Genomic DNA, 24964 nt, shown 5'->3' with positions numbered 1-24964 from the left:
AGTTCTCACAAGATCTGATGGTCTTATACGTGTGTGGTAGTTCCTCCCGCGTTCATTCTCTCTCCTGCGTGTGAAAAAGTTGCCTTGCTTCCCATTTGCCTTCTGCCATAATTCCTGAGGCCACCCCAGCCATGTGCAACTGTGAGTCAATTAAACCTCCTTCCTTTCTAAATTACCCAGTCTTGGGCAGTTCTTTATAGCAGTGTGAGAATGAATACCGGGAGCAAGATGTTGGAACAGGAAAAACTAAATAAGAATAACTTGGTCTAATTTCTTTTTTTTTTTTTTTTTAGAGACATGGTCTCCTTTTGTTGCCCAGGCTGGAGTGCAGCGGTGCCATCATAGCTCACTGCAGCCTCAAACTCCTGGGCTTAAGGGATCCTCCCACCTGAGCCTCCCTAGTAGCTGGGATTACAGGCGTGCACCACCGGGTCCAGCTAATTTTGTTGTTGTTGTTGTAGAGACAGGGTCTTGCTCCGTTGCCCAGGCTGGCCTTGAACTCATGGGGTCAAACAATTCCCCCAGCTCGGCCTCCCAAAGTGCTGGGATTACAGGTGTAAGCCACTGCAGCTGGCCTAAATTCTTGCTATGTTAGCTTGCATAGGATTTGGCACATAATAGAAGCTCAAATTCAATTTTTCATATCTAAAGTAGGAATAAAATATATACTTTGCAGATTAGATAATATATATTTTATTCAAATTTTCTTCTTCCTTGGAATAAAGGATCCTAGGGCAAGAACAAATCATATTTATCTTATTTCCTTATGCCTAGACCTAGCATAACTTGACACACAGTAGACACCTCATGAATAAAGAATTCCTTTTTGGGAAAAAGATTTCTAGTACTTTTCTTTCTCTTCTGACAGATTTTTGCTAGCTTTTTGTTTTTTCCAAATGTCTTCTACTTCACATCAGTTCCTACAACAGAGCCCTTGGGCAGGTCAGAAATGGGAGAAGAATAGTTGATACACAGAATCAGATGAGAATTCTTTTTCAATGATATAACTTTCCTTCCCTAAATTCTGATAAAACCATATTTTCTCCCCAGAGGAGTTCTCACCACTCTCATGCATCACTATTACTTATGGAAAAATAAGAATGATTTTGTTCAGTATTATATTTTTTAGATGTGATGGGACAGAGAAAATATTAGGAATCACCAATGTAAGGGCTTCTGAGAATACATAAAATGTACAGGGCAGATGCGGTGGCTCATGCCGGTAATCGCGGCACTTTGGGAGGCCACAGCGGGAGGAACACCTGAGGTCAGGAGTTCAAGACCAACTTGGTCAACATGGTGAAACCACGTTTCTACTAAAAATACAAAAATTAGCCGGCATGGTGGCGCACGCCTGTAATCCCAGCTACTTGGGAGGCTGAGGCAGGAGAATCGTTTGAACCCAGGAGGTGGAGGTTGCTCCGAGCCGAGACCACGCCACTGCGCTCCAGCCTGGGTGACAAGAGTGAAACTCTGTCTCAAAAAAAAAAAAAAAAAAAAAAAAGTACAAATGTCTTCACAGGCATGATCATATGAGCTTTGATCATCAGGATCATAGGTGAGAGCATCTAACATAGGTCTATTAGGATGCATTTCCTAAAGTTTCTCACACCAAACACCAAAGCCACAGAAATGGAGTTGATACTGCTTCATGGATACATGGAGTCAAATACCCTGTCTCCCCCCCTAGTCTTTCTGAACTGGTCCTTACCAGGGTTTTCAATAAGACACCCCTCCCTTATCCCATTAAGAATAAAGGCAATATTACTGACAGATCATAACCAACAGGGTAGTTGGCTTTCCAGTTCTATTTTTTTTTTTTAAGACAGGGTTTTACTCCCATCACCCAGGCTGGAGTGCAATGATGCGATCTCTGCTCACTGCAGCCTCTACCTCCCGCGCTCAAGCAATCCTCCTGCCTCCTAGAGGCACACGCCAATGTGCCTGGCTAATTTTTAAAAATTTTTTCTAGAGATGGGATTTCACCATGTTGGCCAGGCTGGTCTCGAACTCCTGACCTCCTGACCACAAGTGATCTGCCTGCTTTAGCCTTCCAAAGTGCTGGGATTACAGGTGTGAGCCACTATGCCTGAAGAGTTGGCCTACAGTTGACAGTTTTCCCCCATTTTTGTATTGTTATAGGGAATCCCTAAAATAATCATACTCAGTGCAGGTCTGACAGTCCTCACTGTGAATGACATATATGTTCTTTCTTTTTTTTTTTGTTTGAGACAGAGTTTCACTCTTGTTGCCCAGGCTGGAGTGCAATGGCACAATCTCGGCTCACTACAACCTCCACCTCCCGGGTTCAAGCGATTCTCCTGCCTCAGTCTCCCGAGTAGCTGGGATTACAGGTATGTACCACCATGCCCGGCTAATTTTGTATTTTTAGTAGAAACGGGGTTTCTCCATGTTGGTCAGGCTGGTCTCGAACTCCCGACCTCAGGTGATCTCCCTGCCTCGGCCTCCCGAAGGGCTGGGATTACAGGCATGAGCCACCACACCCAGCCAATGACATCTATTTTCTACTATAAAACTTGAATTCCATTTCTAAAGTCTGTGCGTGACTGATTTAATATTTAATAGAAAATAAGTGTGTCAGAACTTAATTTTTTTCTGGTACCCTTTTCTTAAGTTCTAATAGCATATATGCAAGAACACCATATTTTACTGTTGAGGGATTTCAGTTGCCAAGTACTATGTATGCAATCTAATATCAATGATCCTTAGTGAACAGCATGTTCTATCAAGTTCTCCTGAAGTCAGAAGATGACTCTAGGAGTACAAGTGTAAAAGAGCTGGACAACAGTGCACTCATGTTACAGCCATTCCAAGATGCAAAGGATTCGATCCTTCAGAATATCTATGATAATGGACACTCCGCTCTATCTGTGGCTTAGATTAACCTCCACAGCAACTCAGCTGATTATAGAACACTTCCCATGTGATGACAAGTGCCATTTGAGGAGGTAATTAAAGGTCACTCAATCCAATACCCAAAGAAGAAAAAAGGAACATGCACTGAAAATATTCACAGGCACCTATGTAATTAAAATCAAGGTACAAGACTGCATACCTAATTTTTTTTTTTTTTTTTTGAGATGGAGTCTCGCTCTGTCACCCAGGCTAGAATGCAGTGGCACAATCTTGACTCACTGCAACCTCCACCTCCCAGGTTCAAACAATTCTCCTGCCTCAGCCTCCTGAGCAGCCGGGACTACAGACGCGCGCCACCGTGCCTGGCTAATTTTTGTATATTTAGTAGAGATGGGGTTTCACCATATTGGCCAGGCTGGTCTTGAACTCCTGACCTTGTGATCTGCCCACCTCAGCCTCCCAAAGTGCTGGGATTACAGGCACGAGCCACCACACCCGGCCACTGAAAGCAAATCTATTGGAGATTTTTTTTTCCTTCCAGAATTATTACCACATAGATCTCCACTGTCGCATCAAGTCACAGATATTCTAAGTACTCACGGAAATTAACTGCTATGGAGAGGGGTAGCCCAGGATGTAATCATCACAGTTTACACTTCAAACCAAAAGTCCTGTCCCTTCCTTAAGGAATGAGCCCCCAGGGTAACATTGAAAATATAGAACTCAGGCTGGACGTGGTGGCTCACGCCTGTAATCCCAGCACTCTGGGAGGCTGAGGCGGGCAGATCACAAGGTCAGGAGATCGAGACCATCCTGGCCAACATGGTGAAACCCCAACTCTACTAAAAATGCAAAAATTAGCTGGGTGCAGTGGTGCATGCCTGTAATCCCAGCTACTCGGGAGGCTGAGGGAGGAGAATTGCTTGAACCAGGGAGTCAGAGGTTGCAGTGAGATCACGCCACTACACTCCAGCCTGGCAACAGAGCAAGACTCTATCTCAAACAAAAAAAAAAAAAAAGAAAGAAAATATAGAACTCACTGGAACCCCTGAATCAGGGTGAATGGAATCATGCCTTTTTTTTTTTTTTTTTTTTTTTAAGACTGAGTCTTGCTCTTGTCGCCCAGGCTGGAGTGCAATGGCATGATTTTGGCTCACTGCAACCTCCGCTTCCTGGGTTCACGCGATTCCTGCCTCAGCCTCCTGAGTAGCTGAGATTACAGGCTCCTGCCAACATGCCCAGCTAATTTTTGCATTTTTAGTAGAGACGGGGTTTTGCCATGTTGGCCAGGCTAGTCTCGAACTCCTGACCTCAGGTGATCCACCTGCCTTGGCCTCCCAAAGTGCTGGGATTACACATGTGAGCCACCGCGCCCAGCCTGTCTTTCTTTACTATCTTTTTTCCACATCACTACATCCTGCTATGTTCTAGGCACTCTGCAAAGAACTGGGCATGCAGTGTTAAACGAAAGACTTAGGTCCCATGACTCCATAAGCCTAATAAATTAGAGGGAGAGACAGACATGAAATGAATATGCAATTATAAGTTGTGGTAAATACTGAAAAGTAGAGGGGAGAAAAGCAAAAGCTGAAATTAATGAGTATCAGGGAGGGCTTCCTTGAGGAAGTAAAATTTAAGCTAAGCTCCAAAGGATGAGTAAGAGCCAACCAGTGAAAGAAAGAGAACTTTGAGGCCAGGCGCGGTGGCTCATGCCTGTAATCCCAGCACTTTGCGGGGCCGAGGAGAGCAGATCGCTTGAGCTCACAAGTTCGAGACTCAGCCTGGGCAACATGATGATGAAACACCGTCTCTTCAAAAAAAAAAAAAAAAAAAAAAAAAAAAAAAAAAGCACTCTAGACCGAGAGACTAGCTGGAGGGCAAGGTTCTTGCTAAAACATCTTCCCTTTACAGAATAAAATACATTTCTCTCAAAAGTGGTCTCATTAATGTTATCTACATTTAAGGAAAAAGAAAAAAAGTGGTCTCATAATTCAGTCTAAAGCATGCTGTTTGTGTCACCTGCTTCCTTCGAGTCTAATATTCCAGAGATGGAATTATTATTTAAAAAAATAAATAACCGAGCTTAGTGGCTCATGCCTGTAAACTCAATGCTTTCAGAAGCCAAGGTGGGAGGATAGCTCGAAGCCAGGAATTTGAGACCAGCCTGGGCAACATAGCAAGATCTCATCTTTACCAAAAATAAAAAATAAAAAAATAATAATTAAAGAATTATCCAGTTGTGAAGGTGCACACCTGTAGTTCCAGCTACTCAGGAAGCTGAGGTAAGGATCACTTGAGCCCAGGAGTTCAAGGTTACAGTGAGCTATTACTGCACCACTGCGGTCCGGCCTGGGTGACAGAGCGAGACCCTGTCTCCAAATTTTAAAAAATGGCAGAATATAACAATATAATTACTGCTTGACAAAAAGGAGCTATTGGCTCTTAAGGATGCATATAAGAAAAGTCAAAATCCCCTGATGTTTTTAACAAACATTTTATCATTCTTGAGCAGCTCAGAAAGAAAAGATGGTTATCTTGTGGTTTGATCTCTGAGTTATCTAATTATTTTTGGAAGTCAGAAGAATCATTTACCCAGGAAATCTCTAAATGCCAGGAAACCTCTTATGTGAGGTAAGTCAGATGATGTCACTGATCTTATCTGCTTGCAAAACCTGTAATCCAGTCCTTTAAAGCAATAATTCCTGGTTAACTTCCACACCCATCCAGAATCAGCATTGGACCCAGCCCTCCTTGCCCAGGACTTCCCTCAGTGTGTTTTCACCCACATGTCCCCATTAGGGACCCCTAAGCACGTGAACCCCAGCTATACCACATATCTGTCCCCTGCCTTTTCCTAACCATGGGGTAAATCATGACTTCTAGTGGCTCTAGATCCTTCAGAGTGACATGCTCCTGAGCTTCTGCTCAAGAGTGAAACACTAACACAGGACACCTGAAGGTCTTGTGTTCCAATTACCACCTCTAGACAGCCCTAGGGTATTACAGAACCTTGGATTTCTGAACAATCTGCTCCTGCTTCAAGGCCATGATAGCATCCTGGTCTTTGTGGTGAGATTTTACCACTTCACTTCCCCATCCTCCTCCTCCCCGCCACCCCCCCGACTCACACCACCACCCCATGTGGGTTCTCTAACTGTGAGAGGACATCACTTCCTCTAAGAAATCTTCTCTAGGCCTGATTTTATAGAATTGAAAAAGTGTAGTGAACCTCCACTATCACCACCACCCTCTTCTATTAATGGAGTGATCACCAGGAGACAGAGTGCTTACTTTATTATATGCCTGATTCATTTACTACTTGTGAAAAAGGCATGAATGTCATCACCATCCCCATTTTACAAATGATGAAACAGTGACAGAATTTAATAGACTTCCTGGGATTAGAACCAAGCCTATCCCCTTTAAAGCCTAGGATTTAACTACAAAATCCCACAGGCAATCTGATTCCACCATTCCTAGTTTGTTTCCCTGCTTAGGTCAGCTGTCTTCAATGACCCTGAAGACCTGTAAAATCATGGAGGACCTAGCTTCATGGGCCACCTTCAATTTGGGCCAAACTGAGCAGCATGTGGACTGGATTTCTGCTGGAGCAGGTACACAGTACCACGGAACTGACCAGTACACGGCCTGCCCCAGATTGCTGCTTAGATGCAGCCTAGGACCACAGTCCAGAGGGCCTGGCATTCTTCCAGCCAAAGCAGCACCCTGGGTACTAATGGTCAGGGTTCAACCTTCTTCACAGAGTTGCTAGGAGACAAGAAAATACTTATAACTCAGTAAACTCAGTGATAGTAGTCACTATCATTCCATCCTTATGCTTTCTTCTAACTTCCTCTAGCTCCCCAGGGACCTATTGTGAAACAACTCCCTAGCCCAGTTCCTCCTACAGAGCAACTTGAGCAGGAAAAGCCCGTGACCATCGGCTCTGCTCCCTCAACACCTAACAAGCTCCTACTTAGCCATTCCAATTGCCAACTCCCTAGGCCATTAAGATCAATAACAAATATCTCTGCATGCTTTTCTCTTGAACTTGCTATAGACCACAGGGGTTTCCCACACAGCCCTGGAGCTAGATCACTGTATTCAAATTCTGTCTTTGTTACTTACCAGCTGTGTGACCTTGTATGATTGACTTAACCTCTCTGAGTCTCAGTTTATCATTTTTAAAATGGGGATAATCATCAAGCCTATCTCATAGGATTGCTGTGAGGATTTTCTCTCTTTTTTTTTGAGACAGGTTTTTTTGGGTTTTTTTGTTTGTTTTTTGAGATAGAGTTTCGCTTTTGTTGCCCATGCTGGAGTGCAATGGCGTGATCTCAGCTCACTGCAACCTCCGTCTCCCAGGTTCAAGTGATTCTCCTGCCTCAGCCTCCCGAGTAGCTGGGATTACAGGTGCCCCCCACCACACCCGGCTAATTTTTTTTTTTTTTTTTTTGTATTTTTAGTAGAGACAGGGTTTCACCATGTTGGTCAGGCTGGTCTTGAACTCCTGACCTTAGGTGATCCATCCGCCTCAGCCTCCCAAAGTGCTGGGATTATAGGCATGAGCCACTGCACCCGGCCTGAGACAGGTTCTTGTTTTATCACCCAGGCTGGAGTGCAGTGGCACGATCTCAGTTCACTTCAACCTCCGTCCTTCCAGGCTCAAGCAATCCTCCCACCTCAGCCTCCCGAGTAGCTGGGACTAAAGGCGCATGCCACCATGCCTTGCTAATTTTTGTATTTTTAGTAGTAGAGACGGGGTTTCACCGTGTTGGCCAGGCTGGTCTCGAACTCTTGGCCTCAAGTAATCTGCCCACTTGGCCTCCCAAAGTCCTGGATTACAGGTGTGAGCCACTGTACCCGGCTGTATCTTTCTCTTTATTCTCTATCATCTTTATTTCTATCCATTATCTATCTACCTACCTGTCTAATATATTTATGTTTTAATTTCATCCACTTTCTGAAAGGATTTTATGGAAAAAACCCTAAAATTAAAAACCCCTAAAAACTCATATGAGAAAACAACACACACACATTTGTGTATATATTACATAAAACTACATACTACATAAAATAATCTTCAAAGTATCATTTTATATTTGTTGAGCCAGGGTAAATTAAAAATAAATGTTCCCAATTATGGTCAGATTAAGGTAAAAGTGGTTTACTCATACATTGCTGACACAAATATAAATTGACTCAGACTTTTTGGAAAGCACTTTAAAAGTACATTTCAAGAGCTAATAAAAAGTCTGCATTATTAATTGCAGAAATAATAATGTAAGGAATTTCCTCTTAGAAAAATTCCAATATAAGGAAAAGTTTAAGCATACAAGAATATGAACTCAAATTCTAAAAACTGGTTAACAATCCAGGCCAGGCGCGGTGGCTCACACCTGTAATCCCAGCCTTTGGGAGGCCGACGTGGGCGAACCACAAGGTCAGAAGATCGAGACCATCCTGGCCAACATGGTGAAACCCTGTCTCTATCAAAAAAATACAAAAAATTAGCCGGGCATGGTGGCGCACGCCTGTAGTCCCAGCTACTCAGGAGGCTGAGGCAGGGGAATGGCTTGAACCTGGGAGGCGGAGGTTGCAGTGAGCCAAGATCAAGCCACTGCACTCCAGCCTGGCGACACAGCACGTCTAAAAACAACAACAACAACATCAAAAAATTAGGCAGGTGTAGTGGCACGTGCCCACAGTCCCATCTATTTGAGGGGCTGAGGCAGGAGGATCGCTTGAACCTGGGAGGTCAAGGTTGCAGTGAGCCGAGATGGCGCCACTGTACTATGGCCTGTCTCAAAAAAATAAAAATAAAATAGCTTAAGTAAACAATGATGTATCCACTCTGCCTTACCTCACAACTATACAAAAATGAAAATTATAAAAGCCACTCTACAAAGAAGAACTAAAACGCCAAGGCTGAAAAGGAAAAAGCATCATTCACAATGAATATAGGAAATAATGAGCAATATGTACATTTACCATACAAACATATGGATAAATATTAACCATGAATAAAACGACACATTAATGAAGATGAATGACTACTTTTTGTTTCTAGTGTAGTGTCATAATAACACTATTTGCATTTTTTTTTTTTTTTTTTTTGAGACAGAGTCTCGCTCTGTCGCTCAGGCTGGAGTGCAGTGGCACGATCTCAGCTCACTGCAAGCTCCGCCTCCCGGGTTCACACCATTCTCCTGCCTCAGCCTCCTGAGTAGCTGGGACTACAGGCGCCCACCACCACGCCTGGCTAATTTTTTTATTTTTTAAGTAGAGACAGGGTTTCACTGTGTTAGCCAGGATGGTCTCAATCTCCTGACCTCGTGATCTGCCTGCCTCGGCCTCCCAAAGTGCTGGGATTACAGGTGTGAGCCACCACGCCCAGCCTTATTTGCATTATTTTTAAATGTTCTAAACATGGCTATAACCATAGTTAGTGTACTAAACTTAGATCTCTCTTTCTCTTTTTTTTTTTTTTTTTTTTTTTGAGACAGTCTTGCTCTGTTGCCCAGGCTGGAGTACAGTGGCTCCATCTCGGCTCACTGCAACCTCTGCCTCCCAGGTTCAAGCGATTCTTCTGCCTCAGCCTCCCTAGTAGCTGGGATTACACATGCCCGCCAATGTACCCAGCTAGTTTTTGTATTTTTAGTAGAGATGGGGTTTCACCATATTGGCCCAGCTGGTAAACTTAGATCTTAACTGTGCATTTTGGATCATTTTAGTTGATTATGCCCATGATTACCTGTTAGAGATAATGTGTAATTTCATAAATGAGTGATTACACATTAGTCGTTCTTATCAGTTTCAACTGAACACTTTCACACATTGTAAACAGTCACAGAGTTACCATAACCTTAACTTAAATAATTATCCTTTATAAGGTATCTATAAATATAAATCTATTAAATGGATTTCCTAATGTGTCCTGAATTCAGACATTGCTGTAATACATGTAACAAAAATCCTTACCACAGGCCTCCGTTCCGATCTGTGATGAGTAATACAATGATCCAGCAAGCTGTCTTCATACAGTTCCCTCTGACAAAAGGGACATACACACCTGGAAATAGCACAGAATACAAATAATATTAAAATGGTTGGCAACTAGATAGTAGTCACTTTTTTTTTCTTTTTTTTTTTGAGACAAGAGTCTTGCTCTGTGGCCCAGGCTGGAGTGCAGTGGCATGATCTCAGCTCAATGCAACCTCCCCACCTCCCGGGTTCAAGGGATCCTCCTGCCTCAGCCTCCCAAGTGGCAGGGATTACAAGCCCCCACCACCACACCAGGTTAATCTTTGTATTTTTAGTAGAGATGGGGTTTCACCATGTTGGCCAGGATGGTCTCGAACTCCTGACTTAAGGTGATCCACCCACCTCGGCCTCCCAAAGTGCTGGGATTACAGGCGTGAGCCACCGCACCTGGTCACATATCTGAATTTGGACTAGCCACATTTCAAGTGCCCAGTGGACACATCTTGGACAGCACAGATAAGTGACAAATATTCCTAAGTGTACATAAGGATTTAATAAGGTAGCTGCAGGTCACTTTTCTTTTTCTGTCTTTCTTTCTATTTTTTTTTTTTGGAGAGGGAGTCTCGCTCTGTTACCCAGGCTGGAGTGCAGTGGTGCAATCTTGGCTCACCGCAACCTCCACTTCCTGGGCTCAAATGATCCTCCTGTCTCAGCCTCCCAAGTAGCTCAGACCACAGGCACATGCCACCATGCTAATTTTTTGTATTTTTAATAGAGGTAGGAGTTTCACCATGTTGCCCAAGCTGGTCTCAAACTCCTGAGCTCAAGCAATCCACCCGCCTTGACCTCCCAAAGTGCTGAGATTTCGGGTGTGAGCCACCTCGCCCGGACTGCAGGTCACTTTTCCTTCTTCACTGGAAATTAACAATATAGGCTGATGCACATAGTTATATGCTAGTGAAGTTGGAAAACAAATAACACCCCATCTAAATGTTATGTGAATTCGGAAAGGGAGGAAGGAAAAGGTAATCCAAGGACAGCTGGGTGCTGCAATACTCAGTTTCTCAGTTAATGCATGCTCAGATTGCACTTCTCTCCTAAAGAGAAGTGCAGTGAGCTGGTATCACACCATTGCACTCCAGCCTGGGCAACAGGCGTGAAACTCTATCTCAAAAAAAATAAAAAAATTCAGATTTGCTGGATGTATAAGATACACGCTGAATTTTGAGGGCTTAATGTAAAAAGAAAAAAGAATGTAAAATATCTTGATAATTTTTATACTGATTACACGTTCAGATGATAATATTTTGGCAATATTAGGTTAGATAAAATATATTGAAAGGTAATTTAAACTTTATCTTCTTATTTGTTTAAATGTCGCTACTAGAAAATTTTGAATTACATGTGATTAACATTATATTTCTAGGCCGGGAGCAGTGGCTCAGGCCTGTAATCCCAGCACTCTGGGAGGCCGAGACGGGTGGATCACGAGGTCAGGAGTTCAAGACCAGCCTGGCCAAGATGCTGAAACCCTGTCTCTACTAAAAACACAAAAATTAGCTAGGCATGGTGGCACACGCCTGTAATCCCAGCTACTCAGGAGGCTGAGGCAGGAGAATCGCTTGAACCCGGGCAGCAGAGGTTGCAGTGAGCCAAGATTGCGCTGCTGCACTCCAGCCTGGGTGACAGAGCAAGACTCCATCTCAAAAAGAAAAGAAAAGAAAAGAAAAAAAAAAACCCATTATATTTCTACTGGACAACACTGCCTTAAGTTCTTAGGGACAATACGGAGTCTTGGAGTTGTTTGCTCACTTTCTGTTACAGATGTAACTTCTTGTCCCCCAAAACTTGTACTCTGGACAAACTCTAGGTGTAAGAATTTTTAAAATTTGAATTATGTGGTAAATTCTTCTGTAAAGCAAAGATTTTTATCATAAATCAAAATATTAATATATCTTGTAAAATAATCAACAACCCTCTCCATTTTCTATTATTTTAATTCTTTACTATTTAATTCTAATGAGTAAAAGAAATTGGGATTCAAATTAGCTTTCATATATTTTTAAATTTTCATAAAAGCCATCAACCTTGCAATCAAACCCATACACTTTCTCAACCCATTGGTAATCCTTCCTTCCTATTGGTCATTGTGGTCAATCTAACAGGATCCATACTCTGTTTATAGCTAAAATACTCATTTGAAATTTATAAAGTCAGGGTATAAAGCTAATCCTATAATAATAGGTACTTTTGCAAGGCGATCTCTAGTAAAACAAAAAGAATGAGGTGATTGTTTAGACTTTTAGGTTTAGAAATGTAAGCTATATTTTGAGTATATTTTCTAAAAATGAGCAGAGCTAACATTTTTCTCTGGGAGAGAGAAATTATACAGAATACCAATATTGGATACATGAATCCATAGGCAGATTAATGGCTGGAAAGCCATCAATCTTTGCTAGAGAGCACAGATCACTTTATTTGGTTAGTAGGGGCAGATTACAAACTTTATAATTACTCTGATGCAGCTAAATTACCTTTCTCATCAGGAGAATAATGACTTAGATGTGTTTCTTTTTTTTTTGAGACAGAGTCTCGCTCTGTCACCCAGGCTGGAGTGCAGTGGCCAGATCTCAGCTCACTGCAACCTCTGCCTCCCAGATTCAAGTGATTCTCGTGCCTCAGCCTCCAGAATAGCTGGGATTACAGGTGTGCGCCACCACGCCCAGCTAATTTTTGTATTTTTAGTAGAGATGGGGTTTCGCCATGTTGCCCAGGCTGGTCTTGAACTCCTGACCTCAAGTGATCTGCCCGTCTCAGCCTCCCAAAGTGCTGGGATTGCAGGTGTGAGCCACCACACCCCACGAATGTTTCTTTCTCTTTTTTTAAAGAATAAAATACTATCAATATCCTCCATTACATCTGTCAGCTACCTCCATCTTTCCCCTACCCCCATACGAGATTACCCATCAAAAAGGCAAAGGATTCAGGATGCCTGCCCAGCCTGTTCTCTTGTATACTGAGATGCTGCTGTCTATATTCTAAAGAGAAACAAGCAAAATGATAAGGAATGAGCTGGTGAAATGAGCAGTGGTGACAGAAGATGGATAATCCCAAACACAATCTACTTCAGGAATCTATTAGAAAACAAAGCCTAGCAGAAATGTAACAGTTCTGCATTCTATTTTTGGATCTGTGTTAACACAAACTTGTTTGAGGAAGTTGCCCCAATCTCTCCAGTCTGTGGTTGGTTACCCCTGGAAATTTTTAAAGTAGACAGTGCAAAATTCCTTAACAATGATTGCTATCAACAAATGATTACCAGTACCAGGTATTATAGTTAAGAACATAAACATAAATATGTAAATATTTTCATAAGAATGTTAAAGTTTCCAGCCCATTAAATTCTTTATAAACATTATCAATTTTAGCATTAAACTATATTGTATTGAAACAAACCTTGCTGCTGTCTCCTCAAGTTCTTGTAGTGGTCCATACTTATCTATGTACTTCTGACAAGTCCGAATATGTGCCCTCATTTCACTGAGGCAAACCTACATAAAAACAAATTCAAAATAAACTCACTGTTAAAAAAGGGCTCAATGAAAGCTTATGCGATCCAGCCTTTTAACTTTCAAGTAAGGTCATACTGTGGGATCAACTGACTAAATAGATGCATTCGTAACACCAGTACCACCAAAAATTAAGGCATTATCAAGAATACTACTATTTTTCAAATTCTCCGATACTTAGAAGATCCAACTGTTAAGTTCTTGAATTTGGTTCTTCTAAAAAGCATATACGGCCGGGCGCGGTGGCTCACGCCTGTAATCCCAGCACTTTGGGAGGCCGAGGCGGGCGGATCACGAGGTCAGGAGATCGAGACCATCCCGGCTAACACGGTGAAACCCCGTCTCTACTAAAAATACAAAAAATTAGCCGGGCGTAGTGGCGGGCGCCTGTAGTCCCAGCTACTCGGGAGGCTGAGGCAGGAGAATGGCGTGAACCCGGGAGGCGGAGCTTGCAGTGAGCCGAGATCCCGCCACTGCACTCCAGCCTGGGCGACAGAGCGAGACTCCGTCTCAAAAAAAAAAAAAAAAAAAAAAAAAAAAGCATCTACATTTTTTAAAGTAGATAGATGTGTGGTGACTCAAATTTACTTCTTTTGCATGCCATTACATAAACAGGTTTTAGAAAGAAGGAAGCAAGGGAAAAAAATGGGTGAAGAAAAAGAGCACAAGAGAGAAGAAACAATCTAAGATGGAAAAAGAGACAGAAAAAAGAAATGGACAGATAAGAAGAATAAATGGATACATTTTAGAGGTGCCCATAGCAAGTTAAATGAAACACTGTGCCTTAGGGAAAGATATAAATACCATGGTTTTATAACACACCCAACAGTATTACATGAATTCACAATACACAGTATACTTAATGGTCCCATTAAGAGCAAACATAAAAGACAGCTCTTGCAGTCCATTTTGATCAATGCAGAATAAAGAGCCCTTGTTCTTTCACATATACATTCAGAGAGCCTAACCATGAGGGATCTGTTGCTAACATCACACATCCTATTAAATGTTTCATTAGAAACTCTGATAAGATCTTGTGCTAAAGGAAGCTCTGTACAGCTGTGGTAAGGTGGCCGACCCACTCTGCTTCATTTTGCCCAAGCTACGGAAGTTAAACCTCAAACATGAAATCTGCCGTGTCAAGGAAACAGTTATAATTGTTTAACAAAGGGCAAAAATAAAAGCAAGTGAAAAGTAAGAACAAAACCCTGGCTTTACAAATATCCACCTAAAAGATATAAAAACTAGGATTGATCTGCACAAGCTGTCTTAAACAGATGTATTTTACGACCTGTAACATCCAACTTTGCACATTAGGGTTCTCTCATGTCTTTATGACTTTTGCTGGTAAAAATTTCTATTTGTATTCTTTGTTCAACAAAGATAAGCATTAGTCATGAAAATTAACAAGCCGTGGACTATCTACTGACAAATGAATTGATCAATTCATAGTCTAGACACAAGATTATTTGAAACATTATAAAAAATGGCAGAAGAAATGCAGTTCATTGTGCCTGTTCTAATGGTGCTTACAATCTAACAGAAGAAAAAAGGATGTTAGACAAGTAGATAAGGAATTGTTTGATATAGGGGCTGGGCGTGGTAGCTCACGCCTGTAATTCCAGCACTTTGGGAGGCTGAAGTGGGTGGATTACCTGAGGTCAGGAGTTTGAGACCAGCCTGACCAATATGGAAACCCCCTCTCTACTAAAGATACAAAAATTAGCCGGGTGTGGTGGTGTGCACCTATAGTCCCAGCTACTTGGGAGGCTGAGACAGGAGAAGTGCTTGAACCCAGGAGGCAGAGGTTGCAGTGAGCTGAGATGGTGCCACTGCACTACAGCCTGGGTGACAGAGCAAGACTCTGTCTCAAAAAAAAAAAAAAAAAAAAGAAAGAAATTGTTTGATATAGGGAACTGGAAAACTAAGGCCAGGCCTCAAGGAATGGAGATCTGGCGGGACTCTGAAGAACACAGAGAGTGCAACATGGAGAGGGCAAAATGTGCGTAGAAGGAATGGGGAGCATTCCTAGAAAGAGGGATAACACAGAAAGGAAAAGACAGAATATAAGAAGTATCTCAAAGCTGGGCGCAGTGGCTCATACTTGTAATCCTAGCACTTTGGGAGGCCGAGGTGGACAGATCACCTGTGGTCAGAAGTTCAAGACCAGCCTGGCCAACATGGTGAAACCACGTCTCTACTAAAATACAAAAATTAGCCGGGCATAGTGGTGCATGCCTGTAGTCCCAGCTACTCGGGAGGCTGAGGCACGAGAATCTCTTGAACGTGCAAAGTGGAGGTTACAGTGAGCCAAGATCATACACCACTGCACTCCATCCTGGGCAACAGAGTGAGACTCCATCTCAAAAAAAAAAAAAAAAAAGTATCTCAAAGAAAAAAATCAAAATCTTTGTGATTAATCAGATAATGGGGGAGGGGGAGTGGTGGATTTCCACACAAGTTAATTGAGAGAATCCTCTTGTTTCTGACAGACACCAAGGTGGGATCAAGAATTGGATGATTAAACAATATAATGAGTTTGATTTTGTGTATGAATTTTATGTGAAGACAAAGTAAAAATAGGCAATAATCTATTATTAAGAATGTAAAAAGCTATTAATTTTGAGCATTTACTATATTCCAGACACTGTGTTAAAAGACAATCATCAGTTATATATATATCACATATATATTTATCATTTACCTTTAAAACCACCCTCTAACATGAACATGAACATGATCCTCTCCCCAGCTCCTCTTTTTTGTTGAGAGAGTCTTGCTATGTTGCCCAAGCTGGAGTGCAGTGGCACGATCATAGTTTACTGCAGCCTTGATCTCCTGGGCTCAAGCGCTCTTCCTACTCAGCCTCTGGAGTATCTAGGACTACAGGCGTATACCACTATGCCCCAGCTAATTTTTTTGATTTTTAGTAGAGACAAGGTCTCTTCCCAGGTTGGTCTTGAACTCCTGAGCTCAAGCAATCCTCCCGCCTCGGGCTCCCAAAGTGCTGGGATTACAGGCATGAGCCACTGCGCCTGGCCTCCAAACCATTTTCTATGTGTATGTTAGAGTGATATCTTAAAGATACAATCCTGGGCTGGGCATGGTGGCTCATGCCTGTAATCCCAGCACTTTGGGAGTCCGAGGCGGGCAGATCGCCTGAGGTCAGGAGTTCAAGACCAGACTGGCCAACATGGTGAAACTGTGTCTCTACTGAAAATACAAAAGTTAGACAGGCGTGGTGTTGGGCCCCTGTAATCCCAGCTACTCGGGAGGCTGAGGCATGAAAATCGCTTAAACCCAGAAGGTGGAGGCTGCAGTGAGCTGAGATCGCACCACTGCACACCAGCCTGGGCAACAGAGTGCGACTCTGTCTCAAATAAAAATAAAAATAAAGATATAAGCCCGATCTTGGCACTCCAAAACTTACTCTCTTTCTCTGGCTTACTATTGCATTTAAGATAAAATCTAGAATCTTCTACATAACCTTCAAGACCTCACATGATCTGGGGAAGCTGATATAGTACCCAAGTTGAAAACTGCAACAGGCAAGGTGTGCTTGATAGAGACAAATACTGCAAAGTCCAGATCAATACAGGTGGAAATATGTCACTGGGTTTGATAATAAAGCTATTCATTAGTGGTCTGCAACAGAGTAGCAGAACTGGAGGACATATCATAGAGGATCACTGGAGTAATGGGAAGAAGGGAAAATGGAGGTGGTCAATGAAAGCATTTGTTTGACAAATTACGGGTGATGGTAGAAGTTCAGGGTTTTCTGCAGATGATATATGTACATATATGAAATTGGAGGCTGGGTGAGATGGCTCACGCCTGTAATCCCAGCACTTTGGAGGCCAAGGTGGGCAGATCACTTGAAGCCAGGAGTTTGAGAACAGCCTGGCCAACATAGCAAAACCCTCTCTCTACTAAAAAGACAAAAAATTAGCCAGACATTGTGGCACATGCCTGTAGTCCCAGCTACTCGGGAAGCTGAGGCATTAGAATCACTTGAACCTGAGAGGCGGAGCTTGCAGTGGGCCGAGATGGCGCCACTACACTGCAGCCTGGGCGACAGAGCAAGACTCTGTCTCAAAAAAAAAAAAAAAAAAAAAAATGGCACGGACCCAAAGAGTGAGTGGTAGCAAGGTTTCTTGTGAAGAGCAAAAGGACAAAGCTCCCACAACATGGAAGGGGACCCAAGCCGGTTGTCACTGCTAGCTGGGGTGGCCAGCTTTTATTCCCTTATCGTCCCCGCCCATGTTCCGTTTCTGTCCTATCAGAGTGCAGTTTTTCCAATCCTCCCTGCGATTGGCTACTTTCAGAATCCTGCTGATTGGTGCGTTTTACAGAGTGCTGATTGGTGCACTTTACAGAGCACTGATTGATGCGTTTTACAGAGCACTGATTGGTGCATTTTACAGAGCGCTAATTGGTGTGTTTTACAATCCTCTTGTAAGACAGGAAGGTTTCCCAAGTCCCCACTCTACCCGGGAAGTCCAGCTGGCCTCACATCTCACCAGCACTTTGGGAGGCCGAGGCAGGCGGGTAATGAGGTCAGGAGATTGAGACCATCCTGGCTAACATAGTGAAACCGTGTCTCTACTAAAAATACAAAAAATTAGCCAGGCGTGATGGCAGGTGCCTGTAGACCCAGCTACTCGAGAAGCTGCGGGCAGGAGAATCACTTGAACCTGGGAGGCGGAGGTTGCAGTAAGCCGAGATCGCACCACTGCACTCCAACCTGGGTGAAAGAGCGAGAACCTGTCTCAAAAAAAAAAAAAAAAAAAAAAAAAGGTGCGTACCATGGGGTCAGAAGCAGAGGTGAAATGATAACTTTCGCAGGGACTTAAGCTGGTAACCATGAAAATAGGTGGGGTCACATACATACCAGGGTGTCACACTCAGCGCAGTTCTTATACTCTGATTTCATTCTTTTGGCTACATCAGTTGCTGGAACTCCTTCTGAAGGAAGATATGCCCGGCAATAAGGACAGGTCCACTTGTTGTTCTTTAGACTGGTAGCAATACAGGAACGGCAGAATCTACCCCAAACAGACCAAAAATACATCACTTTCCTTGAAAGCTATAAGGAGCCACCACCATGTATTCATTTGTGTAAACTGTAATTTAATGACACCTCGTACCCCATGAGCCATACTACCAAATTACAGGTCCACTTGCACCCTGCACTTCCCGAGAATTGCTTACCTTCCCAGCAAGACTTCTTTAGAATCACACATTCTTACCACATGCACTTTCACACATTTCAAGAAAAGTAAGAATTCAAAGTGGGTGAAATAGCTTTCCTATAGGCTAAGTTTAAACGATACTTTAAAGAATGTCTAAATTGGATTTTACCTCAAATTTCTTGAGAAAATATGTCTTTCTTCTGTGGGGTTTTGTGTGTCACATAAGAAAATAGCAGGAAGTCAAGGAAGTAAAAATACCAGACACATTATAATTCCCTATAAAACCATTTTCTCCTTCCCTCCCTTCCTCCCTCCCCTCCCCTCTCCCCTCCCTCCCTCCCCTCTCCCCTCCCTCCTTCCCTCCCTCCCTTCTTCCTTCCTTCCTTTCCTTCCTTCCTTCCTTCCTTCCTTTCTGGTCAAGAAATATGTTCTCTGGTTTATTTAAAGGTGCTCATTATGAAATCTTAACATAATCAACATTTCCAGAAAATTCTGACCTATTTATAGGAGTTGTTGAAGACTCCATAAACATAGAAATAAAAATGAGCATTTGGGTAATTTATACACATGAGCATGACCTGATGCCTCTTAAACTACTCAGCACATAATATCTATTTGGGAGTATTAATACATGTCCAAAGGTAGGCTTTTTAAATTTTAAGTATACTGTACATACTGGAAAGTTCTTATAAGCATATAGTTGAATGAAATTTCAAAACTGAACACATCCATATAACCAGTACCTATAACAAAAACAGCGTGGCCAGCCCCTAAAATTTCCCCTCTTGTTTCCTTCTCTTTTTTTTTTTTTTTTGAGATGGAGTCTTGCTCTTGTCACCCAGGCTGGAGTGCAATGACACGATCTCAGCTCACTGCAGCCTCCACCTCCTGGGTTCAAGCAATTCTCCTGACTCAGCCTCCCAAGTAGCTGGGATTACTGGCACCCACCACCACGCCTGGCCAATTTTTTGTGTTTTTAGTAGAGACAGGGTTTCACCATGTTGGTCAGGCTGGTCTCGAACTCCTGACCTCAGGTGATCCACCTGCCTCAGCCTCCCAAAGTGCTGGGATTACAGGCGTGAGCCACTGTGCCCGGCCTCCAGACACAATTCTATCCCCTCCAAAGTAATCACTGACTTTTTAAAATGTATTTTAACATATGAAAATTATACTTTTCAAACATTGTACCAGCCTATAGACTGCAGCTTTCTCATCCCTGCTTACCATCCTTGGTGGTGCTAATCATTGACTTCTAATAACAAAGATCAGTTTTGCCTGTTTCTGTACTTCCTATAAATGGAACCCTCTGGTATGTATTCTTGGTCTTCTTTAGCTCAATATTATGGTCAAAAGATTCATTATATTGTTGTATATAGTTGAGATTGTCCATTCTAATTTTGTGAAGTCTATTGTATGAATACACCCAAATTTATTTACCCTTCTGTTGTTAATGGACATCTGGGTAGTATTTAAATACTTGCTGATGATAAACTTTAGTGATGGGCAGGCACAGCTATTTTCCAAACAATTCTTCTTCTTCTTTTCCTCTTTAACTCCTAATTATATTAGTCACTACCGATTTTTTTCCTCTTTATTTTTTTCTTATTATGTTTGAATTTGGCTTGGATCATGACTGATTCGTAACAGTATTCTCTTCTGCATCTGTTATCAAATTACTATAAGCACACAGAGGATGCTCACTTGTGCAGTGATTGAGACATCTACTTGTTGTTTATACCTGTCCAGCATCCATTCCTCCTTTTTCTTGCAATAGCATCCTGCTCTTGTTCTTCAGGAACAATACCTCTTATATTACATATAGTCTCAGTGGGACCTAAATCAAGGTGCCTACCAACTCCTGCTGAAGGCATGAGCACCTGGCAAGCCAAGTCAAGTATAGACCATGTCTCTGGAAGTTGAACACTGCACACAGTGACATAATGACAGATTCAGTAGCAACCAGATGGAACTTTTCTCCCTTTACGTAGAACTCCATATCTGCCTTGGTTCCTACCCTTTCCTTTTAGCTATTTTTGTTATTGTATGGTAATTTTTTTTTTTTTTTTTTGAGATGGAGTTTCGCTCTGTTGCCCAGGTACAATCTCGGCTCACTGCAACCTCCGTCTCTCAGGTTCAAGCAATTCTCCTGCCTCAGCCTCCCAAGTAGCTGGGATTGCGGGTGTGCACCACCATGCCCGGCTAATTTTTTTTTACTTCTAGTAGCGACTGTGTTTCGCCATGTTGGCCAGGCTGGTCTTGAACTCCTGACCTCAAGTGATCTGCCCGCCTCAGCCTCCCAAAATGCTGGGATTACAGGCATGAGCCACTGTGCCCGGCCAGTAATTTTTTATGTCTAATTTCAAGCTTGATACACTGGTTCTCTACCAAAGTTTTTAAAAACTCTTCCATATACCTTAATTCATTTAATCTTAATACACTCCCAAGAAAGATCATTATTTCCATTTATAGATAAGGAAACCAAGGCACATACAGGGTAAGTTGCTTCTGCAAGATCACGTAAAGGAACAGTGTGAAGAAGCAGCAAGAACAACCCCCAGACCGACTATAACCTATGCGCTGTTGCATCCCTTACCCAGGGCTTATGTCCCGCTGCAGCTGCCGCCCTGCTCAAGAGAAAGACTGAGCGGGATGCTAAGGAGATAACGCCAAGGTGAAGGATGAACCACAGAGAAGATCCGCGAGGTTGTCTGTTAAACTTGCTTCTCCAAAGCCAAGTCTAAGGAGACCCTTGCAAAGAAGGGAGAGAAGGTACCCAAAGAGAAAAAGGGAAGAACTGATGGTGGCAAGGAGGGGAATAACCCTGCAGAGAATGCAGATGCCTAAACAGACCAGGCACAGGAAGCCAAGGTGCTGGAGGTGCCAGGTCAAGTGTGTGCATCTGTGATAACTATGTACTTGTGGTGACTGTACAGTTTGAAATACTATTTTTTATCAAGTTTTATAAAAATGCAGTATTTGGTTTTCTTTTTTTTTTTTTTAAAGGTATGTTGTTAGCACACAGAACACTTCATTGTTGTTTTCTGGGGATGGGATATCAGTCACTGTCACTAATAGAACGTCTAGAAGCTGGATTGATGTGGGGAAAACACCTTTCCCTTCTACTTTTTTGTTTGTTTGTTTGTTTGTTTGAGATGAAATTTCACTCTTGTTGCCCAGGCTGGAGTGCAATGGCAAGATCTTGACTCACCGCGACCTCCACCTCCCAGGTTCAAATGATTCTCCTGCTTCAGCCTCTTGAGTAGCTGGGATTACAGGCATGCGCCACCACGCCCAGCTAATTTTGTATTTTAGTAGAGACGGGTTTTCTCCATGTTGGTCAGGCTGGTCTCAAACTCTCGCCCTCAGGTGATCCGCACTCCTCGGCCTCCCAAAGTGCTGGGATTACAGGCATGAGCCACTGTGCCCAGACTTTTTTTTTTTTTTGAGGTGGAGTCTTGCTTTGTTGCCCAGGCTGGAGTGCAATGGCATGATCTCAGCTCACTGCAACCTCCACCTCCTGAGTTCAAACAATTCTGCCTCAGCCTCCCAAGCAGCTGGGATTACATGCATGTGCCACCATGTTCGGCAAATGTTTGTGTTTTTAGTACTAGAGGAGGGGTTTCACCATGTTGGCCAGGCTGGTGTTCCCTTCTAGTTTTGAGAGGCTTCCTCTTGGCTCCCAGGAGAAGGGATTCCCTGACTTTGACAAACACAGACACCTTGGCACAACAGCCTTGTGGTATGGAAAAACAAATTTGTTCCTATGTCCTCTTCTCCCTTTCCATCTTCAGCATAAACTTAACTCCGTTAAACCCACACACCTGTTGGGGACTGGCCCCCAATAATTGGTTACCAGCATGTCAGGCAATCTGGACTTTCCAGTGATGCCACTGAGATGGGGCTCCTCAAAAGAGCAGTGGTTCAATTTCTACATTGTGTATCGTCAGACAAATTCTGCCATTTTCATTTCACTCCCTGAAAGTCAGGGTCGGCTCATGTTAAACAACATGCTAAATGTGAAATGTCAACCCTCACCCTAAACTTTCTTGTTCAGAGTATCAAATGAATACTCCATTGGGTTTTTTCGTTTTGTTTTGGGTTTTTTTGGTTTTTTTTGCCAGATGTCTTGCTCTGTCGCCCAGGCTGCAATGGCGCAATCTCGGCTCACTGCAACTTCTGCCTCCCAGGTTCCAGTGATTCTCCTGCCTCAGCCTCCCAAGTAGTTGGGATTATACAGGCGTGAGCCACCAAGCCCGGCCCTCCACTGGGTTTTAAAGTGGCTTTATGTTTTTTGGTAGTCCATTGAAGAAGCGAGTTTGAAAGTTGTTGCATACTGTTAAGGATTGTCTGCCCACGTCCTGCTTGAAATACTGTGACTGTTTATGGAAAGTATCTTTAATAAAGCTGGATAAAGTTTGGCTTGGGGGGAAAAAAATCACATAAATAGAAAGTGCTTGAGCTTGGTCAGGCACAGTGGCTCATGCCTGTAATCCCAGCACTTTGGGAGGTAGGTGGCTCACCTGAGGTCAGGAGTTCGAGACCAGCCTGGCCAACACAGAGTGAAACCGTCTCTACTAAAAAAAAAAAATACAGCCAGGCATGGTGGCTTCTGCCTGTAAACCTAACACTTTGGGAGGCTGAGGCAGGTGGATCGCTTGAGGTCAGGGGTTCGAGACCAGCCTGGCCAACATGGTGAAACTCCATCTCTACTAAAAATACCAAAAATTGGCCAGGCATGGTGGTGGGTGCCTGTAATCCCAGCTACTCGGGAGGCTGAGGTGGGAGAATCACTTGAACCCGGGAGGCGGAGGATGCAGTGAGCCAAGATCGTGCCACTGCACTCCAGCCTGGGTGACAGAGGAAGACTCCGTCTCAAAACAAAACAAAACAAAAATACAAAAATTAGCTGGGTGTGGTGGTGCATGCCTGTAGTCTCAGCTACTTGGGAAGCTGAGGCAGGAGAATCACTTGAACCCAGGAGGCAGAGGTTGCAGTGAGCTGAGATCGCGCCACTGCACTCCAGCCTGGGCAACAGCAAGACTCCATCTCTCTCTCTCAAAAAAAAAAGAAAGTGCTTGAACTTGGTTGGTCTTAAGCTGGGGTTTTCTGACCCAAATTTCAGTAACCTTTTATTCCACTACCACAGCTACCCCAGTTGGGAAGATCAATATTTTAAGATCAAGAAATCTAAGTTCTCTGCTATACATATTTTACTTCTTTCTATCTCAGCTAATTATAAGTTCTAAGGTACAATCTGACCTTGGATGTCTCTGAGTCTCTAAGAATGGGTTCTCAAAATGTAGTCTTGAATGAAATTTATGACAAATGGTTCAAATGCTCAACTCACAATTAACATTTCTAATACAACACTTATGGTTCTGACATGAATTATTTGCTTACATTATTTAGAGGCAAGCAGATAACATTTTGTTTTTTTGTCAACTAGCAGTTTTCCCTTTTTTTTTTTTTTTTTTTTTTTTTTCCCACAATTTGAGTTGTATGCCAATGCAAGCAGAATACAAATACTGGTGCCGAGCCCTATGGCGGACACTTGTATACATTATCCCCTATTATTGTAGGCTCCTACAATAATTCATAAAACGCTACTGTGCTTTCTCCTCATTTTATTGATGGCAAACTAAGGTTCAGAGTAGTGTAGCAACGTGCCAAGTTTATGCAGCCACAGACAGTAGTGCTCTGATCCTTAAACAGTTTGGGTAGGGCCTCAAATTTTGTAGTCTTTTCAAGAAACCTCAGTTCTTCCCAGTAACAAGCAGAAGTCACAAATATAAGACCATGAATGTGCCTGTATAACCAGGAGGCCTGATATAATGAATGTGTCCCCCCAAAGTTCAAGCATGAAAACTTGGTTCCTCTTGTGGTGGTATTGAGAGGTGGAACCTTCAGGAGGCATTTAGGTCATAAGGGCTCCACTGTGATGAATGGATGAATGCCGTTATCACAGGAGTGGGCTAGTTCTTGCAGAAGTGGCTTTGCTATAAAAGCCAACTCTCTGAGGCAGGAGGATCACTTGAGCCCAGGAGTTTGAGTCCAGCTTGTGCAACATAGTGAGACCCCCATCTCTAAAAAATAAAATAATAAAATAATAAGCGAGCTCTCTCACGTGCATTTTCCCACTCTGCCAACTTCTTTCTACCTTTCCACCAGGGGATGACCCTAGCCAGGTCCCAGCACCACGCTCTTGGACTTCCTAGCCTCCAGAACTGTGAGCTGAAAAGATTCTTTTCTTTATCTATTACCCAGTCTGTAGTATTTGATAAATACCCATTCCCATCATGGCGTGAACTAGTGTTTCTGGTTTACTTTAGAATGCCCTTGGCA

General features: G+C 42.9%; 1 protein-coding gene and 1 pseudogene across 5 annotated transcripts in view, besides 3 other annotated features; one reads left to right on the top strand and one right to left on the bottom strand.

The window, feature by feature from the left end:
* Positions 1–24964, bottom strand: part of RNF125 (ring finger protein 125) — a 71982-nt gene that overhangs the window by 35216 nt on the left and 11802 nt on the right. For 4 of the 5 annotated variants that reach the window (NM_001436860.1, NM_001436861.1, NM_017831.4 and 1 more), the window contains exons 2-4: positions 18322–18475; positions 13318–13412; positions 9859–9949 (exon numbers count right to left, since the gene is read on the bottom strand). In NM_001436860.1, coding sequence (NP_001423789.1) covers positions 9859–9949; positions 13318–13412; positions 18322–18475 — 340 coding nt within the window. Of the gene's footprint in view, positions 1–9858; positions 9950–12743; positions 12900–13317; positions 13413–18321; positions 18476–24964 lie in introns of those variants that run through there. The other variant, XM_047437561.1, reaches the window with a different exon arrangement.
* Positions 6471–6765: a silencer, noted in NCBI's record as "tiled region #2735; HepG2 Repressive DNase matched - State 5:Enh". NCBI's record gives its function as "represses a minimal TATA promoter and a strong SV40 promoter by Sharpr-MPRA in HepG2 cells {active_cell/tissue: HepG2}" and the evidence as "EXISTENCE:reporter gene assay evidence [ECO:0000049][PMID:27701403]".
* Positions 6471–7213: a biological region, named in NCBI's record as "Sharpr-MPRA regulatory region 2735".
* Positions 6713–7213: an enhancer, noted in NCBI's record as "H3K4me1 hESC enhancer chr18:29628341-29628841 (GRCh37/hg19 assembly coordinates)". NCBI's record gives its function as "activates a minimal SCP1, AML or CMV promoter by ChIP-STARR-seq in primed H9 embryonic stem cells {active_cell/tissue: H9 hESC(primed)}" and the evidence as "EXISTENCE:reporter gene assay evidence [ECO:0000049][PMID:30033119]".
* HMGN2P44 (high mobility group nucleosomal binding domain 2 pseudogene 44) lies at positions 21146–23046 on the top strand (annotated as a pseudogene).

This window comes from Homo sapiens, chromosome 18, assembly GCF_000001405.40.
Source record: "Homo sapiens chromosome 18, GRCh38.p14 Primary Assembly".
NCBI lineage: Eukaryota > Metazoa > Chordata > Mammalia > Primates > Hominidae > Homo > Homo sapiens.
This window is presented reverse-complemented; position numbering and strand designations above follow the sequence as displayed.